Source organism: Homo sapiens, chromosome 11 (genome assembly GCF_000001405.40).
Source record: "Homo sapiens chromosome 11, GRCh38.p14 Primary Assembly".
In the NCBI taxonomy this organism is placed as follows: Eukaryota; Metazoa; Chordata; class Mammalia; order Primates; family Hominidae; genus Homo; species Homo sapiens.
In genome coordinates, this window is record NC_000011.10 from 131,640,421 (window position 1) to 131,652,562 (window position 12,142).

Below are 12,142 nucleotides of genomic sequence, written 5' to 3' on the forward strand. Positions count from 1 at the left end.
CATTCCTCCCGTCAGAGGCTTCCTGCAGGCTCTCATCAGCCGTATTTTGGTGTTGCCTGAACCATGAGATTGACCTAATTTGCCATCTTTTTTTCTTGCTAATGAGGCTGGCTCTACCCTACTGCTTAGAGAAAGATCTTGTGTTACTTTCCTAGTGAAATGTGAGACTTCGAGTCCAGAGGCCACACTTGCAGGATGTCTCACTCCACAGGTGATTTCAATTAAGTGCTGTGCCTGCTAAGCCAGTCACCTCACCCTTCTTAATATGGGAATTACCCATGAAGGGTTTAAAAAACCTGTAGATGTCCTTGTCCCACCCACTCTAAAACTACTGAAGCAGAATCTCAAGGAGGGACCTAAACATTAAAATTGTTTAAAATCTTCCTAGGCCATTTGGGATAAGAATGACTGTATCTGGCGCACAGTGTCTCCACATCAATAACTAAAGGCAACTGATCTCTGTCTTTTCTTTGCTCACCAGGCTACAGAATTAAGCAAGTTACTCGTATTTTCCAGACAGGAATATCAGCACTCTATATTTGCTGTCAGTACCAATACAAAGGGAATCATAGGGATGACATTGCTCAAGAGACCCGAAATTGGTCTACACAAGCAACCGCATATTCTTAGGAGCAGTCTCTCTGTGCTCATTTGCTACTTGAGGACAATTAATGGCTGTCGACACTGACACTGGTTCCTAATCCCTCTGGTCAGACTTGCATTCTTTACCCAGGTCAATGTGATAATGACAACGATCATGTTTTCCTTGTTCACTACACTGAGGAGTTCTGTAAAATGGCAGCATGACTTTGAATGGGAAGTCGGAGTTTTACTTGATATTCTGCTGCTGTGATCTTAGAAAGCCACTAATGTTGCTCAGCCTTAGTTTTCATTGTTTTGTTTTCTCATTGATAAAAAGAGGGGAGTTAGACTACATTGGTGGTTTTCAAAATCTGTTTCACATTGGAACACTTTAAAATAGACCAGACTGAAGGGATCGTCTCTGGTTGCAGCAGATCTTAGGTGGTAGAGCTGCGACCTACCTCTACGAAGCCTCTCTGAGACCTCCATGGATCCCTGGTCTGGTGAGGTCAAATGAAGAGAAAGTCTGAAGGTCATTCACTGATACCTGTCTGGGGTTTTGAACTGTCAGCCTGCCTGCCATTTCCAAGGGGGGGAAGCTATGGGTTGCCAACCTCTTTTCTTTGAGAGGAAAAGACTAGATAATTGGCAGTGGCCACAAAAGGTGCACTACTTGCAAATTAATTCAGTGGATAACTGAGTTTCTTTAAAGCTCTAATAGTCTAGATTTTTTTTTTTTTTTTTTGATGGAGTCTCCCTCTGTTCCCAGGCTGGAGTGCAGTAGCATGATCTCGGCTCACTGCAACCTCCAACTCCCGGGTTCAAGTGATTCTCCTGCTTCAGCCTCCCCAGTAGCTGGGACTACGGGCACATGCCACCACGCTCAGTTAATTTTTGTATTTTTAGTAGAGATGGGGTTTCACCATGTTGGCGAGGATGGTCTCGATCTCCTGACCTCATGATCCACCTGCCTTGGCCTCCCTAAGTGCTAGGATTACAGGCATGAGCCACTGTGCCCGGCCCCAATATTCTAGATTTTAAGACATCCAATCTTTAAAATGACTCTTTAGTGAAGAGGAGAACAAAAGGAGATACTCACTAAAATTCTGGTATTGTTTAGGAGGGCCATTTCCTGACACACGGCAGCCACTTGGAGCAGTTGGTCAGGCTGGATAAACAGTGCTAAGCAGGCAACATGGAGCCTCACAGACATGAAGGTGTGGGAAGCAAGCTCTAGCTTGTGAAGACCACCAGGAACCTGACTCCCAGGCATCCTCCACACATTAGAGAGCCAAAGCAGTGTGAAGTTGAGTCAGTACTTCATTCTGGAAACTGGAGAGAGATCCAGATAGTTGCTTGTCAAAAGAATAACAATTTGGGGAAGTGGGAGAAGCAACTTTGAAACAGATGAAACAATATAAAACTCCAATAAACTCAGGTATCACTCTGGAATTAATGGAGGACAAATTGGATTTGCTGTTAAGTTAAACACCCATCTGCTCACATCCCTGGAGCCCATAAATTTGTGGGGCTGATTAGTTGTTGCCATCCTTAGAGCAGCAGGGGGCTAACCACGTTCCCTGGAGTTTTGCTACAGACATGGCCCATTCCCTGATGCCTGTCCAGACACCCAAGCTACAGGGGAAGGAAAAGAAATGGAGTTGACCCAACCTGGGGTCATCCAAAAAGTTTGGAGGACATAGTGACACCTCATCTTGACCTTTCTGAAAGATGGTGTTGAGGAATCTCCAAACCAATTTAAATTTCACCCACTATTTTTTTCATTACTACAACAAACATTGCTTTTTCTCATCTATCCAATTATCGTCCTGTCTTTTCCTCAGTCCCCCTCTGCTACCTGACTTGACTCCTCTAACAGCAATTCTCTCTGTACCCAAAACGTGAAGCCTTAATATAGGCTCTTCAGCATAATCGCTTCTTAATTAAGTCAGGCTGTGGCTCCGTTTCCCAGAATCGTTTCCAGAGGGCTTAATTTTACTTCTGCTCAGAATTAATATTTTACATTCTACACTTAAAGGAAAAAGAATGAAAAAAAAAAAAAACTCAGAAGGGGGGAATGAGAAAATGGTTGAGGGGAAAAGAGAGATCATATTTCAATTCCTATTACAGAAGCATCCGAGCCCCTGTCGTTATTTTCAGCAAGTAACACTCAATTTGTGACATTCACTTTAGCAAAACAAAGCATGGATCAAGGTAATTAAATGGCACAGCTCAGAGTGAGTTAAGGGATGATTCTATCAACAGGAGACTCCTGCTGATATGACACTTTCCATGTGCCTGCTTTGTTCTGGCCGTGCCAGTCGTGGCCCAGAGGGCTGCAGGAAGCCTGCTGACGGTTCCAGCACATGGTGTACCCGGGTGTGCGCGGAGCGGCCCAGCATGAGCACTGTGTACTCGTCATGTCAGTAGAAGACCCAGGGGATGAAGGCTGTTAGTGACATTAAGGCCCCTTCCTCAAGAGCTGGCCAACTCTTGTCCTTTGCCCTGGATCAGTAGTCCCTAGGGCTCTACTCAACTCTCTCTCTCTCTCTCGTGTCGCACAGAAGCTTATGGATACATTTATCCTGAGATTGCAGTGAGCCTAATCATCTAGAGGGGAGTGCAGGACCCCTAGTCCTACTGAACCACCCTGTCTATCATCCATTCAACTGTTTAAAAAATACGCATTGACTTCCTACTATGTGCTGTCTGGTTGCTGGAGCTACAATAACACAGTGCAGAAACGTGTGCTGCCATTACCGAGCCTGCAGATCTGTGGGTCACAGAATACAGGGCCAGGCTGAGAGTTCACTTGGACAAACTCAGTACTGTGAGAGAGTTGTAAAAGAAGACTGAGAGGTCTCCAGACCTGAGACCAGAGGTGTGTCCTGAGGGTACACACTACCACAACATGGGTTCTGCTTTGGATTTTGGCAATATGGGCATAATCATGTATGCACAGACATTCTGAACTTCTTTGATCATCATTCATTATAAGACGACTTCTGCAGAATCTCCCAGGAGAATACAGAGTGGTGTCAGGGGAATGGATTCAGAGGCCATGGAGCTGGAACTCTGGTGGTATGGCTTCGGCTGAATGTGCAGGAGGTTGCATGCGACCTCCCCAAGAGATTCCTTCCCTTCATCTTCAGCTTCCCTTCCTCTCTGCCTCCTAGCTGAGACTGATACTGTCATTAGGGGAGGAGCAAAGAGCCAAGGGAGGTTGAAGATGCTCAGAGGGACCCATTAGACTGAGTATCTATTTACCTACTCATGTGGAATACATGAATATATGTGATTATACCTAAATAGGTGATCATACCTGAACTTCTCGCTCCAGTGGCTGTGGTGGGATGTTGACAAGCTGCATTCTAGGACCTGTGACTGGGGCTGCCCCAGGGAGTTTCCCATTCTGTTCTTTTGATTATTAGCCAGATAGTCCCATCAGTCCAGTCTCATGGCCAGCAAACCGTACCAACGAAGGGGGACTCCTACTACTTAGCCTGCTCTTGCTGAGGGACTGCCCAAATTCATTACTCGCCACAGAAGTTTATTTTCTAAACACCACATAAGATAACAATGCGGTATACCAGCAGGAATTGAGAAATCCTTTCATATTTGGATTTTCTTCATCATGGTATATAACTCTTAGAAACATACTTATGATAAGGGGCTTAGGTTGTAGAATTTCTCAATTTCCTTCCCTAAATATTTTATCAACATGATGGATTTTTCTTAAGAAGATTGAAAGATACATTTTTTTTTTCCTTTGGCCAATTTGGGTAAGAAGGGAATTTAGTTTTGTTTTGTTTTGTTTTGTTTTCCTAAAAAAAGAATTTAGGATGCTGGCAGTGAGCCCATGTATGTTCAGGTGTTTTATAATGGGAATTAGAACCTCTTCATTTATCTCATTTTGTTACACTTGCTACCAAACTCCATCAAGTGCTCCTTCGACAACAGGCAGGCTCACAGCATTGCCAAGCGTGTACTCTGTCAAGCTTCTCTGGGTCCACGTTTGGGGATCCTTGTACCCTGTGTCCACATAAAAATGTACCACAGATTGAGCCCTGACCAGACTCTAGGCCCTATTTTAAGTGCATTATTTATAGTAAGTATACCTCACAATAATCACATGAGGTCAATAATATTATTAACCATTTCATAGCTGGAAAATTGAGGCATAGAGAAGTAAAGTAACCACCCCAAGGTGATAAGAAAGCAGCAGGGTTTAGTTTTAATGACAAGGCCCTGCACTTGAAAATCGTATGAGGCTGCTGCTTTGTGAGGCCTTCCCAGTAAGAGGGGTCTCCTTTCTCCTCGCCGTGCGTTTGCTCTTCCCAGCCTTTCTGCAATGCTCCCAGTCCTCCTGAGTCAGACACCAGTGGCTGGAGAGCAAGCAGAGGCAGCAGACGTGCTGGGGAAAGGAGTGAAAGGGCATTGCCTTTCAGTCACGTCAGACACCTTCAGACCTACATGCTAAATAGGGAAAGGAGTTCTGGGTATTAAACCAAACCACAGGAAATCTATTCTTTCCCCTCAAGTGAAATCTTACTCTTTTACAGACACTAGTTTTAAAAATTCACCTCTTCTATGAAGCCTTCATCTAAATATGTACTTTGGCATTCTTCTAGTTCTTACGCCTTTATGTCCATTTTTTTTTACTTATTAGTACATTGTATCTTTTAAAATATGTGTGTATATATGTTTTTTGTTTTCTCCATTTGATTGGAAGTTCTCCTTCGGAGTGTCAAATGTTCTGCCTTTCATACTTCTTTCAATGGGATCTTGGATAGGTCTGTGGACATGGGGTTATATGGAGCATATGGAATGGATGCACAGCTAATGTTGGGGTTGAATCAAGATCCTAACATCACTCTATACCATTAGAAACGTTCATGACGTTTGGCTTTTGCAAAGTGAGATACCAAGGCTTTGCGTCTAACCAAGAATCTAAAGTATGAAACCTAATATCAACCTTAGCTATAGACATGTCAGTACGGAGCACAGGTGTGAAAGATTTAGAAGCTGCATGTATGTGCATGGTTAGCACAGAGATATTGATAAGAGGATAAGCCCACTTCCTGGGCAGGCTTCAAGGGCAAATACGCAATTGATCATCTAAGACGGGGTCAGCAAACTGTGCCCATGGGCCCGATCTAACCCATTGCTTCTTTTCATAAATAAAGTGTCATAAAAACACAGCCACACTCATTCTTTCTCATATGGTCTGTGGTTGCTATCATGAGACAACAGCAGAGCTGAATAGTTGAATCAGAGAATAGAGGGCCTGCTAGCCTGAAGATCTACTACCTGGCCCTTTTCTCTATTTCTATTTTTGATGCGTATAAAGAAAAAAGTGGATCCTTTCTTCTAAACTCACAAAGAAAAAAAATTCTACAAGTCCAGCTTTCTTCCCCAGGCCCTAACCCATTTCTTTTCTCTTCTACTAGTATCAGTTTGAAAAGGAGATCCCCTGAACTTCTGTTTCTGCAAGTCAATTATTTCTTTAGAATATTCAGTGCCATGGTCTATTTATATGCAGATTTTAGATGAAGTTCCAGATTTTTTATTGTGCTCTACCTTTTTAGAGGACATTTTAGCATACGTGGTACTAAAATTTTTTGTGTATTGTCTCACACTTAGAATCGTTTTTTTTCAAATCTTGCAATTTAGCCAGGAACTTCTAGGGAGATGTAATAACCGTCAGATACCTCCAACAGAAACGTATAGTGGGGAACTGAGAAAAACATGAACTCTAAAGGGGGTTTCAATCTCAGCCTTATCAACATTTGGAGTTTTGTTCCGATTTTAACCTACTATTCCCAGTGAGACATATTTCCCAGTTTTCAGTATTGATTTTTATATTATAGAAGACATACAAGGACGTGCTCACTATTTCTCGGCCACATTCACACTATAAAGTGCTTGCTAAAGAGCATGTAAAGCTCTAGGTCCAGAATTAAATGTGGACAGAACACGCAAAAGGGGAGATTAAAATAATGCACTGCCTTGCAGGGCTCCCAGGCCTTCGGCTGTGTGTGAAAAGTTTACTCTTCGTACCCTGGCTGTGCCACCTGATAACTCGGGGTGAACTCATCTTAAATCCCACACGTTTTCTCAGTGGGATTATATCCCCCACCAACTTTCCTTAACTAAAGGTCAAGGGGATCGTGGAGAGGGGTCCAGAAATAGCAAGGCAAGTCCTGGAGACTCAGAAGCATTTGATGCAGGGAAAATATGAACCCTGAGCAAAGAAAGAAATTCAGGGCTTACTTCAGACTTGAAAGTCGCACCATCAAGGATTTTTGTAGCTGCGCGGATGGACATCAATAGGTGATTAAAGAGTGCCAGGCATGGAACAGTGCATCTCTAACCTTCGGGGATGGCTTCGCAATGGGCAGCCCTACACTGCCTGTGGGCTACTCTGTAAAATATTGTGGAGGGAGGTCATCTGGGGAGTCCCTTAGCAAACAAGGGGACCCTGAAGAAGGGCAAGTGATGAGAAAAACTTGGGGGTGTGTGATCTGACATACAATCAGCTGCACAGCCTGCCAGGTAATTTTTATATTTTATCTCATTTGATTCTTGCCAAAGTTGTGAATTCTATAAATCATGTCCATTTAATAAACGAGAGAATTAAGCCTTAGCAGAGTTAAACAATTTTTCCAAAATTATATGATTTGTAAATGATGGAACTGGGGTATAAATTCATATGTGATTTTTATATTATACCATGCTGGGTCAAAATATTACTGCCCCAGGATTTTTCAGGGACCCAAAACAGAAGAAAAAGTTAATGTATGTGTACTTTATAGATATGTTTTATTTAACTATCCAGAAAGGATAGTCTTTTTGTTAACTTTTGTTTTGGGTTAAGGGGTACATGTGCAGGTTTGTTAATAGGTAAACTCGTGTCATGGGGGTTTGTTGGACAGATTATTTTGTTACCTAGGTGACAAAGCCTAGTACCCAATAGTTATTTTCTTCTGCTCCTCTTTCTCCTCTCACCCTCTATCTCCTGATAGGTCCCAGTGTCTGTGGTTCCCTTCTTTGTGTCCATGTGTTCTCATCACTTAGCTCCCACTTATAAGTGAGAGCATGTGGTATTTGGCTGTCTGTTCCTGCATTAGTTTGCTAAGGGTGATGGCCTCCAGCTCCATCCATGTTGCCGCAAAGGATGGGATTTTGTTCTTTTTTATGGCTGCATAGTGTTCCATTGTGTGGATGTACCATGTTTTCTTTATCCAGTCCACCATTGATTCCATGTCTTTGCTATTGTGAGTCATGCTGGAGTGAACATGCATGTGAATATGTCTTTATGATAGAATGATTTATATTCCTCTGGGTATGTATATATACCCAACAGTGGGTTTGCTGGGTCAAATGGTAGTTTTGTTTTCAGCTCTTTGAGGAATCACCACACTGTTTTTCACAATGTTTGAACTAATTTACACTCCCACCAATAGTGTATAAGTGTTCCATTTTCTCCCCAACCTCACCAGCATTTATTTTTTGAATTTTAATAGTAGCCATTCTGACTGGAATGAGATGGTATCTCATTGTGCTTTAGAAAAGATGATTTCAATTCTTAATTTAGGTAATTTCCTTTAGGCATATATTGTGTCCTGCGACAAGTACAGCTTCAGACCTAGTTTCTTTTGATAACATATATTCTTACAAACCCCATTTCTTTGTAATACCAACATGCCTTTATTATTCATACTATGAAAAAAGAGGCAGTAACAGTGAGTAGATGGTGGGATGTAAACTATCGTCACACTCTTGTTTCCTCACTATACTTACTAAAGGGTGGGAAGATATAGAATCTATCATATATTGCATATTTCTCTGGGAGGCCTTTTTAAGGAATATTCAGGAACTACTTTTGGTGGCACATCCAGAAAGAAGACATAGAAGAATAAAAACCACCCAGGGTTACATGAATTCAAAGGTAAAGTAAGGACTTGACAAAGAGCAAAGCATGAGCCTGAGAAAAAAGCAGGCCCCCTGAGGTCCGCTGATGTTGTGCCCGTGTTTTCCCTCTCATCGAGCACTATGACAGGTGCACGGGGGAAGGTTGGTCACTCGAACAACTACGTTTGTTCAGATAATCACTGGCACTCAAGCCATAACATTGTAGTGGAAGATGGCAAGCTCAGATCAAGTGACACCTTTCCCCAGATCCTAAGCAATAATGATAGTAATTGAAACACTGTGCGTGGCACCCATGAATGGTAAACAGGGGATTTACTTACATCAATTAAATCTAAAAGTTATTGCTGTGATAATCATATCCAAGTAAAGGGTAGAAAGGGCACCATGGTGCGTCCAGAAACAGAATGCAGTGTCTGTTTATGCATATCGGGGAGGGAGTATGGGAATAAGTATTGAACGGGATAAAAAGTGGTCTGAACGTTCCCAAGGCCTTTCCATCACCTGGAGAGAGCTCCATTATTCATAATCCTAAAATGCATGGGCTGATAATTGCCTTAATCACCAGAGAAACATGGCTGAGATGTACTGAAATAAGCCATAAAACTCATTACAAGATAACAAGATTCTATCTATTCTCCGAGGTCACACTAGAGTTCCATAAGGTCAAGGAGTTAATCGCCTCGTTCAGCAGAAACACCGTAGATAGTAAACTCTGTATGTGTGTGTTTGGGTGGGGGGAGGCGGTGCATGTAGTTTAAGCCTTTCTAGGTTCTCAGCCAATACACATGGTGACCAGATAGGTGAAAGGGAAGTGGATGATAGTCCATGAATAACCAATAATTTTGTGCTTTTTTTCTTCTTAACTTTTGGGGTGAACACTTCTTGTATGCTAGTAATTGTTAAATAGGCTTGTTTTGCAAAGTTAGCATTTCCCAGACTGACCCCCTTCCCACCTTACGATCTATTCAATTCTAATGACCTGCCCATAGGTCAACAGTGGTGCCAGGGCAGTTGCTCTAGACTTTGAGCAGACACGCTTCTTTCCCGTTTATCTGATGAAGCACACCACAGACAGTTACACAGGAAGGAAGCAGGAAGCTTAGGCATCACCCTTCTCACTGCCTCTGGTTTCTGGAGGAGGGAACAAGGCCCAGGGAGGTGTAATGCTGTCTAACACCACACAGACTATTCATGGTATAGCAGGACCGTGAGGCAGTCCCAGGTACCATTTCACTAAGACACCATGTTCTCTGATAGGCAACGCTGCAAGCAAATGTTCTTTCTTGAAGATGAAATCTCTGGATTCCCCAGTGATTCTAAAAGCAATGCCCTCCTAAATTTGGGGGGTACATCCTCACAGGTGTGCTAGTCAAGAGGTGTGGACTTAGAGTAACATTGGTTCACTGTGGCGAGGGGCCATTGCTTCTCCTACATTACTGACCTCATTGGATGATGTTGGTCTGCATTTGTCTTCTCTTCTCTGCCAGACCTCTGCTCCAACATGGCTCCTCATTCTTTGCCAGAGCTTTTGAAAGTTCGGTCCAGCCTTCAGATTTTGACTTCCCTGGTTTCTCAGTAAAGACTATTTTACTATGAAAAACAGTAAAAATAACAAGACTGCTGAGAAGATGTTTGTGAAGATAAAATGAGATTATGTGCCTGGCTCACAGAAAGTTCTCAATAAACAGCCATCATCATCATCACCATCATCATCTATGTAAGAAGGGCTCTGTTGAGGGATATAGGAACAGTAATTTACTATTTCCCATTATTACTATGCCCTCCCCAGAGGAAATGAGCTTAAACTACATCAGAAAAAAAAATACCAAATTTAAAAAAATTACTGGGAAATTCTGTTATATAATTTCAAGAAAATATCGAGAAATCTCTTGGCCTCCTTCTTCTTCAGGGGTTGGTAAATGAGTCATTGTTTGGAGACTGGGTGACTCCAGTGCTAGCTCCACATGTTTTCTAGGCATTTAGATACTATTAATCTTCAATAAGTTACATATAAATTTAATCTATTGACCAAGATTTCTAGTTTTTTGCTCAGTTCTTTGTTTTTGGTGCATGTGGTTTACAAATATGTAGATACAAAAGACCAAGAATGCTGTCATTTTTAGTTGAGTGAACAACAAACCTTAGATCCTGACTTTTGCAACTACCGACTGTTCTCAAAAGTATTTTTTTAAGTTTGCTTCATAAAAACAATTTAAATTAAGCTCCTCAAATATGCATTTGTTGAGGATTTACTTTGACAGATACTGTGTAGGTGGTTATTGCAGAATTAATCCTCAGTAAATGTTTTTAATAATCATTTGATTTTCATTTAACACACAGTAAGCACCACATAAATTCTAGTTGTGTATAGCTAGTCAAAAAACAAGTTGAATAAATACCAACCAGTTATTAAAAACATTTATGGAGAATTAGCTACTCATTGTTATCTGCATTCAAATCAATTGCACATCTTCCATAGTAAACTTTAAGCAAGATTCCCTGGCAGATGCTGTGGAATAAAGCTCATTCACCAGCACTGGTAGGATTCTTGGTCATACATTCAGCTCGGGACTAGTGCATTTAAATCTTTGTCTCCTAGGCTGGGGATAAAAAGATCATAAAGGCCGGGCACAGTGTCTCACGCCTGTAATCCCAGCATTTTGAGAGACCGAGGCAGGTGGATCATGAGGTCAAGAGATAGAGACCATCCTGGCGAACATGGTGAAACCCTGTTTTTTACTAAAAATACAAAAATTAGCTGGGCATGGTGGCCCACTCCTGTACTCCCAGCTACTTGGGAGGCTGAGGCAGGAGAATCGCTTGAACGCAGGAGGCGGAGGCTGCAGTGAGCTGAGATCACGCCACTACGCTACAGTCTGGAAACAATGTGAGACTCCGTCCCCGCCCCCCCGACCCAAAAAAAGAAAAAAAAAAATATCATAAAAAGCAAAATGGATTCCACTCCGGGGGAAGCTTAGGTCAGCTCATCCGCTGTGCTGTTCTGAGGTCAGGGAACAGATAGATACAGGCCCAAACAGCCTGAGGTGGCCCCCAGCAGAGCTGCTCTTTGTCCTGGAAGCAGACACTCTCCCATCAGAGAATGCTTAGAATACAGACACAGGATTGGGAGCATGTCACTCGAGTTCTAGACTTATGAGTTAACTTGTGACCTTAAGAAAATGACAGCCTTCCCAATATCCATGTCCTCTTGTGTAAAATGGAAATGTAAAAGAAGATTGGCCCCATAAGGCTTCTGTGAGGATCAAAGAGCCTAAGAATGGAGGTAAATGGCTATACACATGGAGCAGCACCTGAATAGAGACATGATCATTGTGTTTTTTTTCTATGAGAAAAGGCTTGAGATAACACTCACAGTTCCTGATGAGGCTTCCTTGGCAACCAGATATATTTACTGGGAAAATCGATGTACTCAGATTTCCAGTGGCCACAAACCAGAACAAAGCAAGGTGGTGCCCCAGGCCTTGTTCCCTTGGCCTGGGGCCCAGACCCAAGGTCATGCACAGCTGACAGAAGAACGAGAGGCTTCAGGGACCCAGGCTCATCTCCTGACATGCTCAACTCACTCTCACAGTTGATGTTTTTGGAAGTTTGCTGCTCAGCACTG

General features: G+C 42.5%; 1 protein-coding gene across 22 annotated transcripts in view, besides 1 other annotated feature; it reads left to right on the top strand.

Annotated features, from left to right (window-relative positions):
* The window catches only part of NTM (neurotrimin), a 966,208-nt gene that overhangs the window by 269,806 nt on the left and 684,260 nt on the right, over positions 1-12,142 (top strand). The gene's annotated exons all lie outside the window — the stretch shown is intronic.
* Positions 3,903-4,082: an enhancer, noted in NCBI's record as "active region_5759". NCBI's record gives its function as "activates an Ori minimal core promoter by ATAC-STARR-seq in GM12878 lymphoblastoid cells {active_cell/tissue: GM12878}" and the evidence as "EXISTENCE:reporter gene assay evidence [ECO:0000049][PMID:35858748]".